General features: G+C 35.7%; 1 long non-coding RNA gene across 6 annotated transcripts in view; it reads right to left on the bottom strand.

Annotated features, from left to right (window-relative positions):
* Positions 1 to 24,445, bottom strand: part of LOC105375971 (uncharacterized) — a 46,690-nt gene that overhangs the window by 20,864 nt on the left and 1,381 nt on the right. The window contains exon 3 of one of the 6 annotated variants that reach the window (XR_929467.2): positions 9,304 to 9,391. The exons of 4 other annotated variants lie outside the window; for them this stretch is intronic. This is a non-coding gene — a long non-coding RNA (uncharacterized LOC105375971). Of the gene's footprint in view, positions 1 to 9,303; positions 9,392 to 22,479; positions 23,222 to 24,445 lie in introns of those variants that run through there. One more of the 6 variants, XR_929466.3, reaches the window with a different exon arrangement.

The raw sequence follows: 24,445 nt of genomic DNA on the forward strand, positions 1-24,445 counted from the left end.
ATTCACAACAACAACAAGAAAACCAAAGCTCTAGATTTAAGAATTGCCAGAAGGCCATTCATTAGAAGCCTGGACAATATCAGAGTTCTTGAAATATGGTTACTAAAGACTTCACTAGATAAAGGATTTCTTTTTCCTCAGGTTTGCATGTTTCATATTTTCTTTCATACACGTTTCCCGTCAGACTTTCCAGTTATGAGTTTGCACCCCCATCCCTTGCCTATTGAAAATCCACAAACTGTGGGGCATAGAAACTGTTTGGAAGGAGGTTAGAGAAAAAACTCACTTCTCTAATCACGCAGCAGAAGTGGCTTCTGCAGATTCTGAAAGAAAAGACTAATCTCACTGCTCCTCCTTCACAGTCTTTACTCGTGGAGCCTGTGGTTTAATAGAGGGAGAACTCAGTGTCATAACCTCATTTTTTGCTATGCTAAGATTTGTTTATACAGGAAGGGTGGGACTTCTGTTGAACCAAGAAAATCTCTCAAATGAAAGAGAAACCACAGCAGTGCCTATCTTGCACCTACTACATATTCAGTATTTATTGAATAATAAGTAATGAATGATTCATAGTGTCTTGCCTCAGCTTTTTCTCTGAGCCTTAGGTTTCTCTTCTATATGTGGTTTGGAGCAGATAAGGGCTATATACAATTTTTGGGGATGAGAATGTTCTTCTCAGCTCCTGTCCCACATGTCAGCTGATTGGCTAAGCCATCATCCCCCCACCAGGACGTATTCAAACTTGGCACTGAATATTCAATCTTTACAATACAGTGACATTCCTCTGGGTATCTGTGTTCACACAGGAGCCTAGCCAGTTGCTAGGAAGGCAATGGTTGCCCACACTGAGGAAGGAGGAAGAGTGAAAAGAGACTATGGGAGCATGTTTATTCTCCCCGAGGGAAAGGTCTTTGAGAAGCCAGGCAACGTGTAGGGCCTTAGTCCAGAGAGCTGTGACTCGGCAAAGGGCTCAAGTCCCAGCAGGAAGCTGAGGCAGAAGGCCAGGCCATGTGGACCAGGCCCAGAATGCGGAGGGAAGAAGAGGACTACCATTTGGTCAGGCCCCAGGTGCCCAGCACTCACACCAGGTGTACCAGGTTCTGAATTTATAGCTAAACAGCTATTTTCAGACCCCTCCTGCTAGTAAAGGCATGCCTCCCTGCATACTGCCTGCTTTTAGGTTTAGGAAGTAGGTGGAGTTTTCTGCAGGTGGAAAAGCACAGCTGAAAAGGGAGGGAGAAAACAGCTCTGACAGACACAGAACAGTATCCTTTCTGTGGTGCTAATTTGAAGAATTCTTTCAGTAACGTTGATTTGAGGGTGGTTGCATAGCCAGAGAGATGAAGGTGAAATGGATGTTTTCTTTAGTCTGGATAACAGCACAGGCTACGCTGCTGAGTCTTACAAAATCACCTGCTGAGGGATTCATGTCAATGTGTCCCATTCCTCCCCCTCCTCCTCAAAAAAAAAAAAAAATACGTATATATATATAGAGAGAGAGAGTACAGAGTACAGCAGGTTATTTTAAAATATTATTTCTGGCCAAAGACATGCCCATAGAGTCTAGAAGAATGATCACCTGGCAGGCAGTTATAGCAAATCACATGTTAGTTTCATGGAACCTCAAGTCTAGCTGGATCCAGCTGGACAAAGTACAACAAATGAATAAACATATAAAAATAAAATGAGATTTAAAAACTTCAACATTAGCGTCTATCATTGGACATTTGTGTGACCTCAAATCTCAACCAAAGTAAAAAGCCCAAGCATTCCAATGCAACTAGGGAAATTTTTCCATGGTGTAAGGGCCATTCAAGGTCCAAGACTAGTCACCTTATACTTTGGCTCAACTCCTAAGAATCCAAATCCCAGAGGCCTGGGCTACATGTGGCAGGTCAGGACATTCCCAGTAAGGGCCTTCAGGACCTTTCTCAGGCTGAGAACCTAACTCAATGGAGTCAATACATACAGACACAAAGGTATCTTTGAAGTTTGTATTTTATTTGATTTCCAGCTGTTGCAAAAAGGTGTTTTTAGTCTCCAAATATAGTCACATTGCAGGGTTATAGTTTCAATCTATGAATTTTGGAGGACACAGTTCAGCCCATAACTCTCTTTAAATTATTTTGGTTTTGCAAAAGCAAGTGGGAGATGATAGCTGTGGAAACTAGAACTTAATTCTAATGGAATAAGTTCCCAAATGGAACTTGAGGACTGAAAATAGTAAAGACTTATGTGTACCTTTATATTTTTCCTCAAAACACCTTCCTATGAATGTTGTTTTATAAAAAAATTCGTGAAAACCATGAGAGGTAAATTAGAAAAATATTATTATCCCTGTTTGGCAGGCAAGAAACCTGAGGGGGTGATAGGGGATGTGTAAAATGACTTGCCTAAAGTGAGTCTGAGAGCTCAGAGGTGCTGGGATCACCATGCAGACCCTGCTGTAGCTTTCCATGGCCTTGTCTCCATCACTTGTCTTTCCTTTGCAAGCTGCCTGTAAAATATTTTTCAGATGTCCCACAATGACGCAACAGGACAAATATCTATAGCACTCCCAGACACCAGAAGTTATTATAAATGAGTAATATGAAATCATGCCCCAAAAGGTTGAGGCTCTGTAAGTTATTTCACTCTTGCTATAATTTCATTCTCAAAATATTTTCTGGGCACCGTTCCTCAAGTAAATGGAAGAAAAATACCCTGGAGGAAGATAAAAACTTTAGTGTGAAATCTATTGTATTTTTTTTTAAATGAGCAAAGTTCAGACAGAAACAGGAAAATTGAGCACCTGATGTGAAGAGGGAAGGTTTCTTATATGAAGTCTTTAGGTGATCCGGAAGAATATGCCAGTAGGATCTGGTTTGGAATATTCCCAAGGGCAAGGTGCAGCCTCTCTGAGATTTTATGGGTAATGCATTCGTGAAAACACCTGCCTTGTCCTTCAGAGTTTTCTCTAAGCTCAGATCAGCCTCACTGGTTCATCCTTCCTCTTACTCCTCCCGTTTAGGCTGATTAAGGAGCTGCTTCCTTGATCATCAACCCCCGGCTCTTCTGGATAAACACACGTAGATTCCAGAAAAGAAAAACCAGAGAGATAAACCAGTGGTTCTCTGATGCTTGTGGCAGGGGCAGCAGGAGGTTTCTTCTAGGTGCCAGTCCCACATTCTAGTGATCCTATATCATAGCCCTGCGGATTCTGCTCCACAACAATGGGCTGACTTTTATTCTTTTTGCAATAGGCTCTTCTCCTATGACCTTTTGTTTGCTTTGCTTTTCTTTGCTTTTATTCTTTTTCTGTCAATAAGAATATGTGACAAACTTCCAGTTTAGAAATAATTTACCAGCCTGAGCATAAGGGGTATTATCACACACAAGATTGTGTTGGTATATTGAAGAGAACTGCATGCTGTGGTGTTCTCGGTTCGGCCCTATGTTATATGGCTATATTCTATAGATTTGTTCTGAGTGGAAAAATCGGTGGAGGGGGGGTTGAGCTATATTATTAATCCATAGTCATAGTATTCTTCGAATAATAGCATTCCCCAGACCTGCCACATCTTCGGCAATTACATTTAGTGTCAATTGCTACTCTACCTGTAGGCCTCCTCAAAAATGGCCCACCTATATGACTTAGCTAAGGGCCATACATAACAGAGCTCAGGGAAAATGAGCTGATTGAAAAATAAAAGCTGTTATTTACTGAGCATCTGCTAGGGGCCAGGTCTCTAGTTAACTATTTTACATTCATTATCTCAGTTCGTGCTGACATCCATTCCGTCAGGTGTACACCGTCATCTCTGTTTCACCAAAGAGAAAACTGAAACTCAGAAATACCAAGCATTTTCTCATGATTACTCAGTGGCAGAGCTAGAACTGGAACCCAGGACTTTGTCAACACCTATCATCTAGACCAGACATTGCACTCCTGCTCCCGGAAGGGCTTTGTTACCATCCAGTTGCAGCATTTACTGGCCTATGGTCATTCTATCAAGTGGAATCTTAACACCTCAACAGTTTGAGGCGAGCAGTTTGTTTATACCAACTTGACCAATTGCCTTTGAAATACCTGTAATCTTTCTTTATCAATCCTATGATGTTAAATGAAGTAATTAGTCTGTTGCTTTGAAAAGCAAGTCGTGATTAAAATTTCAGAGAGCTGTATAATACAGTGGTGCTCTATGTTATTCTTACCCGAGAGCATGTGATCAGTAGGAAATGGGTGTCCTGGAATTGCAGATAAACTGTGATTCTGACAGCAGAATTGAAGCCCATTATCAACTCAGAGAAAATTCACTGTTCATTACCAGAAAGATTACAGATTGATTCTATGTGTCCTACAACCTACGCTTTTTAACATTTTAAAATAACTTGTTACACAAACACATAACAATATCGATGGGATACAAAAGAAAGGGGAGAAAATTACCCACGATCCTGACACATTTTTTAAAAATCTATTTTCATTTCTCTTTATTCCCTTCTAGTCCTGCTCTCTCTACATAATTTTTACAGTGTTCAAACCTACCAGAGGTATTATTTTGTATTCTATTCATCTTCTTTCAATAAACATTAGAGCAGAAGCTTTTCCCACATTTTCGGACTCTTCAAGTACTGCAGCTGTGGAAGGGCAGTGCCCACTTCCAGCTGAGGCCAGGCTGTGGGCAGCTTTCCAGCCCAGGAGGGCAAATAGAAGCGGCTCCTGAGAGAAGCGTTTGCTTCTTTTGCTCCCTATTATATTTTGATAAATCCATGTTGAGAAATGTGGCTATAGTTCATTCCCTTTAACTGCAGGGAAGTATTTCACAGTATGAATATACCACAGTTCACTCATATCCAGGGAAGAATCTGAGCAGATGGTTAGACATGGGTCTGCCCAAGGAAATGATTCTGTACTCAAAATCTGGATTAAGGGTCAGCTCCTGAAACCTGAAAGCCTTGTAGAAGAATATTGCTGTAGAGGTGAGGAGAGAAACAAAGGAAGTGCCCAGTAAGCAAGCCAGGTTGGAAACCAAAGATGGATGCTGGGGGAAGGAGGATGTGTTTTAACAGGAGGGTTCCAGTTAGAGTTGGGAGAGAGGAAGTAAGTGCAGTGATTTCTTAGCCTTGAGGTCCAGGCAAATCATCACTAGCTAGGACAGTCATATTTTATTGCTTTATTTATATTTGGTTCCACAAAACTCACTGTACCTTTGTTTCTTGTTTTTTTAATTTTTAATTTTTCAAAAACAAGGAACAAAGGTAAAGGTTGCAAAATATTAAGAACATTCAGAGTTATAGAGGATAGCGTAATAAACACTCATGCACTCACCACGCGGCCTGATCATATGTTAAAATGTTGCTATATTTGCCTCAGATATTTGTAAGCACTAAAACATTGGAGAGAGAGTTTAATCCACCTGTGTTGCTCTTCTCCAACCAAATTTTCATTCCTTTTATGTAGAAGTAACTGCTATTCTGAAGTTGCTATCTTTCGCTTGCATGCTTTTAGAACATAGCATGTGTGTATCTAACTAATATCCTTTTACAAATTTCATGCTATATACAAATAATATAGTGTTTGTGTCATTCTGCAGCTTACTTATCTATAGTTCACTCATTTTAACTGTTGCACATTATTTTGTTGTATGAACATACCAGACTATTTTCCTTTAGATGGACAGTTATGTTGTTTTTAGGCTTTGCTATGTTTAAAATGTTATAGTTAACATTCTTGGGTATGTTTCATTGTATATGTCAACACTGATGGGTTGAAGCAGCTACTTGGTGATATCAAATTGCCCTCCAAAGTGTTTATTTCACCACGTTCTCATTAATGCTTGGCATTGGCAAATTTTTACATCTTTGTTGATATGATTGATGTGAAGTGGTATCTCATTTTGGTTTATTAACATTTCCTTGTTTAGTAATGAGGTTGAGCATCTTTTTATAAGTTTATTATCAATTCTGATTCTTCTTCTGTGGTGTCTCTGTTTATATCCTTTTCCTTCTTTTCCATCAGGTTGTTCAATGTTTTCATAATTACTAATAGGAGTTCTTAAATCTGAATATTAATCTTTATCAGTGATAAGAGTTGCAAGTATCTCTTTTAGGTCTGTTCTTTGTCTTTTAATCTTATATACAGAGACTTTGAACAGAAATTCTGATGTTTTTGACTTTAGCAGTATTTTTTTAAAAAATCATTATTGTGTTTTAATGACTAGTCTAAGAATTTTTTCTCTACCCTGACATAAGAAAAAAATGTTTAAAAGAATTTGTAAGAGTTTAAAGTGTTTGCTTTTTTACATTTAGATTTTTAATCCACTTGAAACTTTGTTTTGTATATAGTGTGAAATAGCCATCTGATCTTATTTGATTTTTTCATGTAGATTGTCAATTTCACCCATCAATTTCTCTCTGATATGTGAGGCCACCTTTGTCAAATAGTAGGTTTTCCTTTAGGAATAGATCTGTATGAGGGCTCTCTAATCCGTTCTACTGGTCCACTGTCTATTTGTGCTCCAATACAGCCTGTCTTCATCACTAGAGCTTTATAATAAGCCTTGGTACAAAGTCTCCCAAACTCATTTCTCAAAATTATCTTAGTTTTTATTTACTTTTTTGTCTTTTTTTCTTTCATATTAGTTTAGGGTCACATGAACACAAAGCTTGCCTACTTTTTTTTTCCAATTCTCATACCACATACTTCTTTGTCTTACTGAATTTCCCAGGATCTCCTGTATAATATTGAATAAAATTGTCAGTAGTGAACATCCTCATGTTGGGACTGCTTCTAGAGTTTCAACATTGAGTATGGAATTTGTAAGTTTTTAGTGAACGGTATTCATCAGGCTAAAGAAATCCTCTTCTATAGTGTTTTCTTAGAATTTTTTTAAAAATCAAGCACAGATGTTGAATTGTATTGAATGTCATTTTTTGATTTATTATAATGATATGAAATTTTCCCTTTAATTTCTATTCATAGGTTTTATAAAGCTGTATTATATTTTCATGATTAATAAAAATTCATGGTTGATAATGTTATAGTGCTTGTTTAATAAACTGCCGAATTATATTTGCTAGTATTTTAATTAAGTTTTTGTTTATAATTGAGGTTGATCTCGAATTTTGCTTGTTGGTTGAATTTTTAAAATTTTGTTTTTCTTATACTGTATATATCTAGTTTGTTATATAAGTTATATTTGCAATATAAAACAAGTTGGGTAGCATTTTTTTCCAAATTGAATACAATTTTATAGGTTTAAGATTGAATTAAGGAATATTTATTAAGGCATTACTAAAACCTTTTAGGAAAATAATAAATAATCATCTGGTCCTGGAATGATTTGAATTAGGATTTTTTTTATTACTGATTTCAATTTTAATAATGGTTATTAATTTGCAGAATTTTTCTTGAGTCATTTTTAAACAATATTTCTAGAAAGTAACTCCAAAATTTTAGGAAGTCCATCTTGGCCTTCAAGATTTTTAGAATAAAATTGTTATAGTATTCTCCTATCATAATTATAGGTATTTATTTTTCATTCAAGTCAAAGATTATTTGTTTGTGACTTTTCTTTAGTTCTTGATCACTTTTGCCAAAGATTTTCTCTGTCGTGTCAGAAATGTTTCAATGCCACCTCTCACATTGAATCAGTTTGCTGTTTTACCATGAATACTACAGGTGGTTACTAGGTAATACATTTTTCAAAAGGAATTATTGGGTCAAATATTTCAGTGTTTAATATTAATTATCAAAAGGAGCATTTTATGGGTCATATTTCCCATTGATATGGTTTGGCTGTGTCCCCACCCAAATCTCATCTTGAATTGTAGCTTCCATAATTCCCACGTCATGGGAGGGACCCAGTGGGAGGTAATTTAATCATGGGAATGGTTACCTGCATGCTGTTCTCATGATAGTGAGTGAGTTCTCATGAAATCTAATGGTTTTATAAGCATCTGGCATTTCCCCTTCTGGCAATTCTCCTTGCTGCCACGATGTGAAGAAGGACATGTTTGCTTCCTCTTCCTCCATGATTGTGAGTTTCCTGAGGCCTCCCCAGCCATGCTGAAATGTGAGTCAATTAAACCTCTTTCCTTTATAAATTACCCAGTCTCAGGTATGTCTTTATTAGCAGCATGAGTACAGACTAATAACCCATACATATTTCATGATGGAAAACATTACTTTAAAGACCATTTTATGTGGCTAGCATTCCACAGAAACATTGGGAAAGTCTTGTTTTGTCTAAATCATTTTATAAATGAGTAAACTCATGTAGACTCCAATAAATCAAATCCTTTGATTAAGGCCATCATATTGTATCTCTCCTTCACTAATGCACTAGGCTCACAAAAATGGGTGAATCAATGCAACATTCGCAATCTGTGAAACAGATAATTGACTGGTATTTTCTTATTCTTTATAAAATATTAAGAAAAATCATTGTCGAAATTCAGCTCTTTAAAAGTACTGGATTGTAATAATTTAGATGAGAAGAAACTTTATAATTTAACATGACCTAGAAATGACAAAATTAACTCCACTCATTACTTATAAGGGAGATTCTTAATACTGGAGTGGGGAAGGGTAATCCCTGAATTATATTTGTCTTATCACTTATCACCCCTGCATCATTACTAGAATGTCATCATTTCTATTAATAAGGCATCATATCATAAATATGTTGAGGCCAAAAAATATTCATTACAAATCACAGATATTAATGAAACAAGGATAATGGAGGAGATAATATCCAAAATAGAATGTACAATAATAATAAAAAAGATTCCTAATATTGAGTCAAAATATACCATTTTATATACATCATTGCTTGTATTAAATTAACATTTTAAAAATCCACATTTTTTATAAAATCTGCACAAGGATGCCAAACAATAAATAACTTGCTAAAAGACTAATAGACCACCTATTTAGAGACATAGAAAGATGCCCAATAAAAAAGTCTACATAATCAGCAAGAAAATGACAGTATTTTATATAAAATGCAATAACTTCCTCTGTTTCTGTAGAAAACCTGTGTGGGAATAATGTCTGGTCTTATGTCTTTCTTTATTCCTGCTTCAGACTCTACCAAGCCTGCTTTTACTTCCAAGATTTTTATGTCAAATAAGAATATCATTATCCATCAACATCCATGATAGAAATGGCCTGTTTTTATACAAAAACTTTGAAAGAAGATTAAAATTATTATTCTATTTGAAACACAACTCTGGCACTTCCAGAGAGACCATCATAATATAGGTGATATAACAAATACCAGCAAAATAGGAAACGAGCAGAAAAAGTTATTACCACAAGTAACATGTTTCAGCAAAGGTGTTGAGATGTTCTTGGAAAAGAGCCTTTACTCTTGTCACCTTTGGAACTAGTCCAACTGCCAGAAGCCTACGGTCATAGAAATAAAACCACTCAGAAAAGAGTAGACATGTTCTATTTTGTATTTAGATATCAAAGACCATTATTACCAAACCAAATTGGCATGCACAGTCTGATAAATATAAATGAACTCAAGGGCCCTACATGAAAATATTTGAAGCTGAAACCAACCTGAAGAAGCAAGTATCTTTAAATACCCTGGCTAAAGTATAGCTTTATTGAGTTCCATTTCCTTTGTTCACTTAGTTGTGAACTTTTAACTGATTCACTATCCTTGATTTAATTGGTGAGCCCTTTAGTAAAGTGTCTTACTTTTAACAGCCTATAAAGTACTTTGCAAACTTACATAAGGAAAAAATTATACCTTCATGTTTTGTGGGAGGTTAAACTGAGGGCCATTTTTCAATATGTCCTAAGTGCCCCCTCCTCCACCCTGTGGCTAATTAATGAAAACAGTCATGTTGGGGGGTATTGCCAAATAAATACCAAATGAACTTGAAAAAATAAACAAATAGTTATTGGACAATGTTAACTTAACAACATGGACACAATGAAGATCCATCTGTTCCAGAATGATAATAGTTGAAAACACCAACATAAAAAAGTGGAGTAGCATACTGTCTGGGGTCATTATTTCTTTTATTTATTTATTTATTTTATTTTTCTTAATTATGATTTAAGTTCTGGGATACATGTGCAGAACGTGCAGAATTGTTACATAGGTATACACGTGCCATGGTGGTTTGCTGAACCCATCAACCCGTCATCTACATTAGGTATTTCTCCTAATGCAATCCCTCCCCTAGGCCCCCACCCCCTGACAGGCCCCACTGTGTGATGTTCCCCTCTCTGTGTCCATGTGTTCACATTGTTCAACTCCCACTTATGAGTAAGAACAGGCGATATTTGCTTTTCTGTTCCTGTGTTAGTTTGCTGAGAATGATGGTGTCCAGCTTCATCCATGTCCCTGCAAAGGACATGAACTCATCCTTTGTTATGGCTGCACAGTATTCCATGGTGTATATGTGCCACATTTCCTGTATCCAATCTATCATTGATAGGTATTTGGGTTGGTTCCAAGTCTTTACTATTGTGAATAATGCTGCAATAAACATATGTGTGCATGTGTCTTTATAGTAGAACGATTTATAATCCTTTGGGTATATACCCAGTAATGGGATTGCTGGGCTAAATGGTACTCTGGTTCTAGATCCTTGAGGAGTTGTCACATTGTCTTCCACAGTGGTTGAACTAACCATTGCTTTTATTTTCATTTTTAAATTTAAAAAATTGAATTATAAAAATGTAAGAAGAGTAATATTTTCATCTAGAAATAAGTTAAAATTTTACTTCTATGTACTTCTAGCTTTTTTTTAAAGAAAGAAAGCACTATGAATACAATGAAAATCCATTTTACTACTTTCTTCTCAACTCCTACCTCCCAGTCAGCATTGCTTTTCTCTTGCCCTTTTTACTGGCTTCTTCTACTAGACGCTGAGGGGCACAGGATGGAGTGTGTATGGGAAAGCTTTCTCTGATGGGTTCATAATGAAAGACATTTTATAAGAGTTGAGTTAGAGAAGGGATTTGAAAAGAGAAGAGATGCAGGTGGTAGGATTTGGAGTTACCTGAAAGGGGAGTGAACCTTTCTACAAATGAAGCAGGTTTTCTTTTGCTTCCTTTTATGCTTTCCTATTTTTATGTTATCATTCCCCAAGGCTCTAAGTCACGCATGTGCTTCTTTAAATAAATCTCACAAGATAAAAGCCAAGTGCATCAAAATCACCAGGCATTGATGCCTGTCTGTAAAATAAAATCACACACTAATCATGGAGTATAGATTCGCTTTCTTCCCTAAGGCAAGACGTTCCCTGGCACCTGTGGAGGTGAGCCCCAGCATGAATGATCTGTTTTTGACAGTCTTTTCATACATGAAAGCTCATTGACAACTCACCTAGGCACACAATTTAACAATCCCAACTAGCATTTGTGTTTGCTGTGAAATTATGCATCCAGAAAACCAGGAAGTACTTCTTCAGCCATGCCCATCTGTTGCTGCCTTGAAAAGTCTAACTTGGCCATCAAATTTAATTTAATAGTGCTGGCTGGCTACATGTGGGTATTTAAGTTAAAATTAATTAAGATTAAAAACCCAGTTTCTCAAGCACACAAGTGACATTTCAAGTGCTCATTAGTCGTACCTGACTAGAAGCTACCATACTGGAGAATTCTCAACAGATACAGAACATTTATATTATTGCAGAAAACTCTATTGGGCAGTGCTGGTTCAGGATGCAATATCTTGTAACATTATTTTCCATGTGATTAAGAGTCCCTCACATGCATAGTTCTCCTTGAATGTTGGTGGATTAGGGTGAAAACTATCTTTCTAAACTTTGGGGCTTTCTTCCTTCCCCATTGCTTATAGCCAAGCAAAAAATGTGGGTGACAATAAGGAAAATACTATAGTTCTTTGCTGCTAAATGTATCTGGCGCCCTTACACCGAAACTATTACTTACCTAAGAAAAGAAATGTAGAAAAAAACTGGCACAATACTTGGCACACAGTAGGTTCTAAACAAGGTTAGCACCTGTATCTAGCAGGGCTGAGGTAGGTGACAGAATCCACACCAGTTATAAGGACATAGATAATTTAATATAAATATTTGTTAACAAGCTGTTAAGTTGTTCAGTCAAGTAACTAAGGTATCATGAAAATAGCAACTACAGGAAGTAGTTTCTATTCTTAGAATTGGGAGAACAGTGATAGAGATTGGAATTATTAATCTTAGAAACTCAGAGGAAGGTCCATGCTTAGCTGTAACTCAGACCTCTGAAGAAGAGGTTCTGTTCTGTTGAAACTGGTGTCTCTTGCAAGCATTAGAGAAACTGCAACTTGAATTCAGCTGCTGCAGTGGGGAGGAACTGCTGCAGCCATTGTGAAGAAGCATTGCTAGGGTGATGCTCACAAGAAGCTGGCACGAGACAAGACCACAGGGAATAAATGGAAAGGAGACAGTTTCTTTTGCCTCTTCCAGCTTTGTAGGCCCTCTCTCACATCCTCTAATGGCAGAGCCTAACCAGGGAGCAGGTAGTACAGCTGAAATGGTGTTTGCAGAGTTCTAGCCCCAGGATTAAAAAATCTAGTATAGAAAGTTGGGCTTGAAGCTGAGAGATATTAACTTGAGGGCAGGCACAGGCCTTATAAACTCTTAAAATATTTTCCTTGGCTAAAGGTGGGACTTCTCCTTTTCACATATCCATCTCAGTCTCTTATTTTTTTTTTTATTTCAAGCTGCTGTTAATGATGGTTAAAACCTACTTATCACAGACTAACATACAAAAATCAGTTGTATTTCCATATGTATGCAATGAGTATTTGCATTTACATTCAATTTACAATAGTATTAAAAATGATAAAACACTTAGGATTAAATTTAACCAAGAAAGTGCAAGACTTTTATACTGAAAAACTACAAAACAATGTTAAAAGAAATAAAAAAATTAATAAATGAAAGATATCCGTGATCATGGGTTATTAGACAATATTTTTAAGATGGAAATATTGCTGAAACAATATATAGATTCAATAAAATCTTTACCAAATTCGAACAGCCTTTTTTTTTTTTTTTTTTTTTTTTTCAGAAACAGACAAGTTGATCCTAAAATTCATATTGGATTTCATGGAACCCCATATAGCTAAAACAATCTTGAAAGAAAAGAACAAAGTGAAAGTATTAATATACTTTCTGATTTCAGCACTTACTACACATCTCTGAATAATTAAAGCTGTGTGGTACTGGAATAACAATATAGACATACGGATTATTGGAATAAGACAAAAAGTCCAGAAATAACCCATACAGCTGGACCCCTACTTCAGACCATTAAAAAAAATTAACTCAAAATGGATCGAGGACCTAAATAAAAGAGCTAAATATCTAAAACTCTTGAAAGGAAGCATAGGTTTAAATCTGTGGTCTTGGATCAGGTAACAGTTTTTTAATTATGACACCAAAACACAAGCAAAACAAGAAAAAATAAGTCGAATTTCATCAAAGTTAAAAATTTTGTGCATAAAAGTACAACATAAAGTGTTTCATTGAATAACAACAACAACCAAAAAACAACCAACAGAAGGGGAGAAAATATTTGCAAATCATGTTTCTGATGAGGGTCTGGTATCCATAATATATAAAGAACTGTTACAACTTAACAAAAAGAAAGCAACCCAACTAAAAAATGAACAAAGAAGTTGAATAGATATTTCTCTAGAGAAAATACACAAATGTCTGATAAGCATAGAAAAGCTACACAGCATCATTAGTTATTATAAAAATGCAAATCAAAATCACAATGAAATACCCCTTCACATTTAGTTGATGGCTATAATTTAAAAAAAAATGAAAAATAACGTGTCAGTGTGTATGTGGAGAAATTTTAGTCCCCACATTTTGCTGGTTGGAATGTAAAATGGTGCAGCAGCTGTGAAAAACAGTTTGGCAGTTTCTCAAAAAGTTAAACATAGAAGTATCATATGAACCAGCAATTTCATACCTAGGTATATGTCCAAGATAAATGAAAATATATATTCACACCAAAATTTGGATATGAAAATTCATAGCACATTATTCTTAACAGCTGGAAGGGAGAAACAGCCCAACTATACATCAACTGATGGATAAACAAAATGTGGTATATTCATAAAGTGGAATATTATTCAGCCCTAAAAAGGAATGAAGTACTGATGCATGCTCCAAAGTGAAAAACGATGTGTGTTTTAAAGTAGATACAGAGACCTGAGGCTCACAATAAGTATATCATAGTTATTCATAATCTCTCTCATTCAGCAAACATTAGTTAGGCACCTGCTGTGGTAATAATAATAAATTATTTATTGTCTCTACTATGCTACAGACACTTTGCATTTGCTACTTCTAATCCTCAGAACAACTCTATAAAGCATATATTATTTCTATTTTATAGATTAAGAAACTGAGGCTCAAATAATTTAATGTATTTTATATAGCACAATTAACAAGAAGCCGAGGCCAGATTTGAACTGCAATCTGAATGACTCCAGATATAACATTCTTTCTACCCTACCTAGCAGCCTTTCTTTGTAGCAAGCATTATGTGAGATAAGTCACAAAGATGAACACTCCCTTGAAGCACATATTAGCTGATGGGTAAGGTAGACCATGGAAACCTCTGTTAGGTTGAATGGTGTAAGTGCTGTGGAGAAAAGCCCAAAAAAGAGCATATACGAGAATCTGAGGTTGGGGGCAGAGCTGGTGGAGATTAGTTAACAAAAAAAAATCTTAGGCAAGACCAGGACAGGATGCTTTTGGCAGAAAGGGAAACAGAATTTGCTCAGTTTTCTTCCTTGTTAATTTAGTTTCTTTCTTCATAGCATGTCAGAAGGTCAGCTGAAAACGTACAGCTTGTGCCTTTACTCCTTTCCCTCTCTGGAGGGATGACCCAAAGAAACTAGTGGAAGTGTTAGTTGGAAATATTATACAAGATAAATTTCTTTTCTACTCTTAACCCTTAACTTTTTCTTTTTAATTGTAATCCTGCCCTTCGGAATCTGCCAAATGCAATCCGCAGCACAGGGAATGAACTAGTAAGGGTCTCAAAGATATACACAGACATACTCAGGAGGGCATTTTCAAGCAAGGGCTATTTCCCTTTGGCCAGTCTCAGAGGTGAAGAATGTTTGAGAGTGGCAGCCTGATCAGAGCTAAGGCAGGAGGTGGTAAAACACAAGCAAATCCTTCTGTGATCACATCCTTCAGTGTTTGATTCTAATGTGTAGTCAGAACTTCACAAACTAGATGCCGTCCTTTGGTGGGCTGGAAGCAAGCACGTGGATTAAAACTATAAAATGTCCTTTGCTCCACCAGAGTGGCTGTGAGTCATCCCTACCTTGAGGATTTCACCTGAGAGTCTTTCTTATGAGTTAAGGAAAAATTCAGGATGATTGAAGCTGGCTATCTTTGGACATGGTTTCTCTTGAGAGTACTTCTGATATTGACTTGTCAATGACTTGCTATGTAACCCTGGATAAGTCAATTACTTTCTCCATACCTCTCCATATAATAGGAAATAATCATTTTTCTCCTAATAAATAATAATACAAATAGTTTATATTACATATTTTCAATGTAATTTTTTTAGTTTTAAACATAAATTTTGTTAATTGAATAGGCATTTACAGTATGCTGGGCACTGTACTGAACATATTGCTCACATAATTATTCGACAAATCTTCATAAGTTCTCTATGAGGGCATTATTATTACTGTATCTGTTTTGCAGATGAGAAATTTGAAGCTTAGACTATTTAGGTAACTTGCCACAAATTGCCCTGGTTGTAAGTGGTTGAGTTAGGGTCACTTTATCTACATTTATAGCTCCTGTTCACATTATAAATTATTGCGATCCTGTGAATAACAATATAAGCCTCTCACTAGATTGCAAACTAGTCATCTTTGTATCTCCTGAAGTATCTTGAAAAATATTGGCACTTAGTAGGAACTCAGTAAGTTTTATTTTATAATTCATAAACATGAATGGAAGAATAGATAAAAAAGTTATTGCCATCATTATCATTATCTGGTTGCTAACAATAGGAGAAGCCAGATTTCCTAGCAACTGTGATGAATTATATATTGTGATATATAGACCTAGAGAATGTTGATTAATTATGTCACATTATTTCCCCCAAAACAAAGACAAAAAGCTTAGTGAAAGTCTACGGGGAAAGATAATAGCAGCATCACACTCCAAAAAGATGTTACTGAATTTGCAACAGAGCAGTTCCAACATATCTTAATATTTTAAAACTTGGTCAAATTAATTAAAACAATGAACCCTGTACCCAAATAGCATACATGATAATTTCACAATATAACATCTTTCTACATTTTATAGGTGACAATAGGAATTAGTGATATGAAAGGCATACATATTTGTTTTTATGCCTATTGTTAGTTCTGAAATTTATGCCATGACATTAAATTCTGGATATTACTTATAAACCAAACTTCAAGTGTATTTTAAGGAAAAGAATTATCCAAAGCTTAGGGAAATTAGAAGAAGTACACACATACACAAACACATGTGAAAGTTAGTGGCTTGTATGTGTGTGCAAATGTATGTGTGTGTGTGCAAGAGTGTGTGTGTAATATATATATTTCATATATATGAAATAAATCATATTGAATATTTTTAAAAATCATAAAGCTCTTGCCTGGATCCAATCTAGGGAGTTCAATGGGAGGTAAAGAGGCAGAACAGCATAACTTTCATATTTAAAGTATTACAAAAATGTGCTTTGAATGAGTAAGTAAACCATCTGCACACCTGAGGATTTCTCTGAGTCCACATGTTCACTATACATGTATATATCTGTCTGTTCATTAAAGTGTCACGAGAAAAATGAGTAGTCAGGGTTTGTCAAAATTTAGAGGGGTATTTGGGGTGATAAAAGTTAAAATGAAGACTATGTGGCCTATGAAAAAAAATTTTGAAAATTATGGGGGTCACCTCTAAACAGACAGTCATCATCTTCTATAGGTGGCTGACACTGAGATTGGCCCAAAAGTAGTAAGACATCATGCAAAATCACAAGAGTAAACATTTTAGTGGAAGCTGATTCTCACATGGGCAGCTCTGTATGGTGAGTTCCAAGTAGTAGAGCAAGTGGCAGAAGAGATTTATTTATTTATTTATTGAGAGCTATGTGTTCTCCTAAGCTTTGATTAGTAGTCCAAGCAGTTTTGAATAAATTATTACTGCTGCTCTAACAGGCTTTACTTTAAAAAAAAGATTAAAAAGAATTATTCAATAGGCACAATTTAGAATCCGGAGGTTAAATCAACTCGTCATCCACTTTGGAATCATTTTACTACTTATTTTATCTCTTCTTTTTGGTTGTGTGAATAAAACTTGCCTATCAACCCAGGAAAGTAGTGACTGCTTTTCACTCTGTCAGCACTGGTGTTAGACCTCTTCCAAAATGGCAAATTACTCTTATGCACCATAACCCAGCTTCTTGGAGTCCGCCAATGACTCAGATAAGCCCTAGCTTCTGAGTCAGCCAATCAGCAACAGCTGCACTCCAGAGCCCAGGCTTCCAGGCTAAAGGCCAACAGATGAGTGTCTATGGAGACTCTTCTGAAAGCCCACCAGTCTTGAATTCCATGCTTCTCATTACCCTATATTTGATCAGAAGTTTGCTTTGAAAAACTGTGTCCTACAAACAGGGTCCTGCTATTCTTAGCAAGCAACAAGTTCAGCTTCTGGTTTCAGATATTGTAGTGTGGGCCTCTTCCTTCATTCATGGAGAGCAAATGATATTTCTAATAAGGAGATTTAAGAAATGGCGCGATCTTCTCCTCGTATCCACAAAAATCTGGTTCTGGCAGGAGACCTGCCTTAACATTAAACTAATCCTAGACCATAGGAGGTGCATCTTAATTTACTATCTACTAGTTTATATTCCTCATCTGTTTCCCAAAACAAGATGCATGTACTACTTGTGGTTTGGGAGATTGTTTTGCTGGTACATAGATGGACTTAAAAATGTGTGTGTGTGTGTATTCTTTAACATGGTATTTGAAAAATGTAAAACTAGCATATCAAATCAGTGATTTCAGGAACATTATTGCTTAAACCAAAGCTAACATAGGATGTTGCTATGGTTTGAATGCTTTTGTCTCTCCAAAATTTACACATTGAATTCTAATCACTAAGGTAATGATATTAAAGATAGGGCCTTTGGAAAGTGATTAGGTCATGAGGGCTCATCCTCAGGAATGGGGTCATAAAAGAGACCCCAGAGAGATAGCTAGCCCCTTCCACCTTGTGAAGATGTAGCCAGGAGTCACCATCTATGAACTAAAAAGAAGGAGCTCTCATCAGACACTGAATCTGTTGGTGATCTTGGACTTTGTAGAGTCTAGAACCATAATCAATAAATTTCTGTTGTTTATAAGCCGCTCAGTTTATGGTATTTTGTTACAGCAGCCTAGCACATAGAAAATGCTCAGGAAATATTTGTCAACTGAATGGGTAAATTTCCAGATAAGCCTTAGAATAATCAAGGGCAATCATACCATAAATGACTGTCATATGAGATAGATAGCGATGGCTGCAAGAAGCGAAGATAAATATCCTGCACAGTATAATGTCTTTCCAGAAGTCTTTCTTGAGAATCCATGTCTAGAATGCATTCATTCGGAGATCTCTTTGAAAATGCTTAGCATTTCTCTTCCTTATTCATTTGAAATTTAAGCATATTCTCTTTTAAATTAGCAGAAGAAACTCACAATTTTTTGGATTTCAGTTCACAAAACAACTTTACATATATCAATGATTAGATTGTTTAAGCAACTTGATGAGATAGGCAAAACATGCCTTCCTGTTCTGCTATGAAAAAACTAGGTCTCATGGAGTTTAAATAACTTGCTCACTTTGAAAAAAAAATTGTTAATCCCTTTCCCTGTGCAAGGCTCAAGAGGCTGAAGGGTAGAAATTCTGCAGAAAGCTCATTAGGCTTAAGGTCTTTCATTTTGCAGAGTGGTTAGGTGTTGACTATCTCTAAGTCCTTGAATTACTTTGTGACTGGTATGGCCATAGTTATTCTGATAATATGTAAAAACTAAGATCAAAATTTTTAATTCTATAGAGCTGCTACAAATGAAGAGAAAAGGCTCTGTGTTTTGGGAAAGCAGCTTAAATAGTTATGAAACCAATATATTAATACTTTATGTAGATAATACTTTTCCATCTATTCATATTTTGTTTGAGTTTTGTCTTAGGAATTGTTTAATTTTAACAGATACTTTCTCAGATACCATTCATATGTTTATACTGTTTCTTTCTTTAATTTGTCAATACAGTGAATTATATTGATAGATTTCTTGATTTGGGACCATGATTACAATCCTGAAACAAATATTTTAGTCAGTGTATCTTTTGACACTATCTACATTCCATTTGATTATATCATATCTGTATTTGTTAGTGAGTTTGGTCTGTGGATCTCTTGTATCATAGTATTTTGAACAGGTTTTGGTCTTACAATGATTACATTATAAAATGAATTAAGCAACCTATCATCTTTTTTAAGAGCTGTAAAATAGAAGGTAAGCGCTTTAAGGACAAGGGTTTATTTTATTTAATGTTGCACCATAGAGCCTAAAACACTGACTTACATTTTTGATACATTTTTGTCCAAGGTAGAAAAGGAGGAAGCAAGGAATGAAGGAACAAAGAACAGGAGGGTCTGTTTCTTTAAAGTGTGGTGAAAATCAGCCATAATGTTATTCAGTTGCTATTGTTGATAGTTAATATTTAACTTCTGTATTACCTGGTCTGTTCCAGTTTTCCAGTATTTTATTTAACTTTAGTTACTTTTATTATCCAGTTCCTTTAGAATTTTAAATTTGTTGCCATGGAGTTACATATAATCTCTTGTATTCCTTGAATTTTTTCTGATTCTAAATGTGGTTATGTCTCCTTTCTCATCCATAACCTTGTGGGTTTTTGTGCTCTCCTTTTTTCCCCCTTTAATTTGGATTATAAGATGTTTATCTCTTCTTGTGGGCTAGTCAAAGACCGGGCTTTTGAATTTATCTTCTCTACTGTTTGCATTTTGCTTTGTTTTCTAATTCATCACTTTAAGATTGAATTAAATTAATTCTCTTTTCCTACTTTGCTTTGGTAGATTCTGGTTTTTTTTTTTTTTTGCATTTTTTAAGATGAATGTAAAACTTTCCTTAGTTTTATTCTTCTTTTTTAAATGTAAAGGCAATTATGTTTATAGCTTTTGCCATGAATGTTGCTTTTGCTATTTTTTATAAGTGTTAGTATAAAGTGCTTTTTATTTTTATTGTTTCCAGAGAGAATGTAATTTTAGTTTTACTTCCCCTTTAGGCTAAAAATTATATAGAAAAGTGGTTCATAATTTCAAAGAGGATAAGATTTTACCATTTAAGATTTTTTCTTGTTTTATTATAATATTTTCAGTGTGGCCTTCATGACAGAAAGTCATTATTAAAGTATTATTTGTATCCAACCAAGTATGTGATTGATTTTTATGAATTCTCATTTCATATAACAAAAATATTCTCTATTTCCCAATTTTAAGATTCAACACACCTATTCAATTGATTGACTATATTATTAAACTTTTCTGTCTTTATTAATATTTTGTCTACTAGATCTTCCTGCTTCTGAAAAATACAAATTGAAATATGCCACCATCATTTATTTTTTACTTAGTTATCTTTAAGTTACTAGTAGTTTTTGCTTTATTTACTTAACTTTTGTGTTGTTTGGTATCTACAGGGTTACGAGGGTATTTCTTGCTTCAAAAATTATATTTAATATTATGTAATTTCTTTTTTTAATTAAAAATTTTAACTTTAAATTCAACTTAGTCTGATAGTAATGTTGCCCCTCCTGATGTTTTTTTCTTTCTGCACTAGTCTTTATTATGACAAGTTTACATAAACAGGTTTAAAAGGTAAACCTAAGCCTGCTCTTTAAAGATGTAATATGTGCTGTTTTCTTTCCATGAATGGAAACATTTCACAAAGAAAGAACTTTGGAAACAAGAATTGAGAACATGTTATTACAATATGTTTCTTTCTGCATTGATTTTAAGCCCGGTAGTGGAGCATACCCGTAGTCCCAGGTGTGCTAGAGGGGAGGTTGAGGCAGGAAGATTCCTTGGGCTGAGAAGTTCGGGGCCAGCCTGGGTAACCTAGTAAGACTGTCTCTTAAAAAAATAAAAATAAAAATTAAACATTTCAAGTCCTCTTGATTTTTAAAATTATATTTGCCTCGTCTTTGTCCCTTCTTTTCCAAACTTTATTATTTCATCTTAAACTGTATTTCTAGTAAATGGTATATAGCCCAACTTTGATTTTTGCTTCAGTCTAACATTCTCTCTCTTAGCCGGGAGAATTCAGTATTTTATGTTTTGTATCATGGTATGCTTGTCTTTATACCTTACTCCTTACTTTGTTTTATTTCTTTTTCTTTTTTCTTAATTTATTTGTATGATTCAGTTATTAGTTTATTAATTTTCTTTTTCCTTTTTGTTAACTTGGAAGTCCTACTATTATTTCATCTTTCATTAATGGTTATCTTGCTTTTCTTCGTGTTCATAATTGTAAACATACTTATTTAATATTATATGAAAACGAGAGCATAACTCTTTTTCTACTAAGGTTCTTTATTAGTTTTACTGCTTATCTGCCTTCTCTCAATAAGGCCAGACTGTTAGCACATTTTCACTTGTTCCACTAGCTTCCCCTCAACCCCATCTGCCCTCCATAGGAGACCTCTGGGATACTTTTATTGTGTTCTTCTTTCTCCCATCCAAATGCCATCTTCAATAATTTAGTACTTTTAGTTTCTGGCAATTATTAGAATTTTCCTTGCAGTAGGCCTCTTCTATTTAAAAAATTCTTGTTTATAACCTAGTTTACAAATTCCCAGATTGTATTCAATTGTATTTCCTTTTAAACCTATTACCAAGTTCTTTGTTCACCAGTTTTACCTATTCATCTGTTTCTCTATCATGAGATTTAGATGTTTTTAATTCTATGGTTTGAGTTCTTTCTTAAGCATTTCCTAAGAGGGGATATGTAAGTGAAGTAATCTCTGCAAATAGCATTCTTTTAAGCTATTAGTGAATAATATCTTATCACAGATTCAGTCTCTTATTCTAAAGCATCTGTAGATATTGTTCTACCATCTCATAGTTTTGAGATTGCAAAACTTAATTACCAATCTCAAACTTTTTTGTTTTGTTTTAGAAACAGGGTCTTGTTCTGTCACCCAGGCTGGAGTGCAGTGATGCTATCATAGCTTACTGCAACCTCGAACCCCTGGGCTCAAACTATCCTCCAGCATTGGCCTCCTGATTAGATAGGACCACAGGTACATGCCACCATGCCCAGCTAATTTGTAAACTTTTTATTTTTTTTTTTGTTGTTGGAGCAGGTGTCTTGCTATGTTGCCCAAGCTGGTCTTGAACTTCTGACCTCAAGCGATCCTCTCAAAGTCCTGGGAGTACAGGTATAAGCCACCATGCCAAGTCTCCAATCTAACTCTTTTTTCTCTTTTCTTTTACCAAGATGTATTTATTATCTTAGCATCTTATCTGGAACTTGATGAGCTACTTAAATCTGCTGACCCAGGTATTCTTCAGGAAAATTGCCTTCAGTTATTTGCTTGATGATTGTCTCTCCTTCATCTGTCTGTTTTTCTCATTCTAGAACTTCTATTTTTTCTCCTGAATCTATCTTTCAAAATGTACGTTTTCCCCTCATATTTTCATATAGTTTTTCTTTGTATTCCTCTATGATTTAACATATACTTCCACCTGATCTTCCAAGCCACCAATTGGAGCATCTATAATGCAGCCCTCTCTTTTATTTTATCTATTAAATCTTTAAATTTAAAAAATCTTGTGAGTTTAGCTCCAGGAACTGTGCCAACTGCTATATATTGGACTTCTTTACATATTCTCCTGCTTCTTTCAAATCTAGCTTTAAAGGAAGCAGCTCTATTTCTTTAGTGGTCTCTTCAGATTTTTCTGTTCTGTCTACTCCCTGGCAGATGGGCCCTGTTAATAGGATGTCATTTCTCTGCGTCTACTCATTCTGGTACCTTACATGGGAGCCGTCCTGAGCATGGTGGAAGGAGCAACCCTGTCTGTCCTGTGGCTCATTGTATTAATACCTTCAGCTGGCTGTCCATCTCTCTTCTTTCAGTGGACAAAAGCAGAGCTTCTTTGTTCTGTGATCTCTTGTGTTCTCTAAATCTCAGAGATAGAGACGAATAAACTCAACTGTTTAATATCTCTTTAATTCCTTAAAGCCAGGGAGACCCTGAAGTTCAGTTCGGAAGAACTGAAGTTCAAGAGAGCGTAAGTTGACTTTCTCCCCAGGAAGCGCAGTTTTCAGATATTGGCCTTAAGCTTTTGTACTGAGCCCTAAAGTTCTGACCCAAAGAGGAAAAAGTATGACAACTGGTGTCGGCCCACCCCTGCTGATTGGCCCCACAAGAAGGGGGTGAGTTGGGGTCATCACCCCATGTGGAAGAATGTGGGACACCTCAAGCCATCATCCTGCCAAAGTTTCTTCCCTCTGTGTTCATTTAGGGCAATATTTTTGAAAGCTTATTAACTTAAACTTAGTAGTAGTTCTGCCCTATCCACTAATTAGCAGCACGAGTTTGAACTAATCACCTACTTCTTTGGGCTTCAGAGTCCTTATCACTGAAATAATTAGGCCCCTTCCACTAGTCTAAGATGTCTGTGTCTGATCTTCCAGCATGCAAGTTGACTCAGCCATGTAACTGCCATACATTCAAGTGAGAATTGCCGCTCCCTGTATCAACTCTGAGTAAGAAAATTATTTTGGAGTAAAACTTGGGCAAAACAAGGTCTTTAGTTGCCAAAAATTATTCTGCAAGAGTTCAAAACACTAACTTTTAGTATTTACCTCAGTCAAGCCAATTTTCCTTCGGGGAACACTATTGTTCGAGTTGAAAAAAAATGAAACCTAAATTGTGGTTATGTATCTGGCATTTATAATGTAAGTATGAAAGCAATAGATTTGCCTGTGTTTTTCTAAATCACATAACTTGCAAAAAGCATGTTCACATATGCAATTTATTTTCACATTCAAAAAATTAAACTCGAATTCTAACTGCGAAGACTTGTCCCTTAGAATTATGAGGGGAAAGAAATACCTAACACTTTTTACAGTGCATTATTCTTTGTGGAGATGGTGTTTCCCTTTTTTTCATTGTTCCTTTAAGGTCGTATTTAACCACAGACAGTTGTCGAAGAAGCTGCAAACCTGAGAACCAGGTGCACCCTCTTAATGCCTCCTATGGAACATTTTATTAATCTCTTTGACTCCACTCTATTATCTCTGCCTGGAGTGTCCTTCCTGTCTCCTTCCTCTTCCTACAATTCCAAGCTTTAATGGTCTTTCCATTTTTAGCGTGGACTCTTTTGATGCTTGCAGCCATG

The sequence above is a fragment of the Homo sapiens genome, chromosome 9 (genome assembly GCF_000001405.40).
Source record: "Homo sapiens chromosome 9, GRCh38.p14 Primary Assembly".
Classification (NCBI taxonomy): domain Eukaryota; kingdom Metazoa; phylum Chordata; class Mammalia; order Primates; family Hominidae; genus Homo; species Homo sapiens.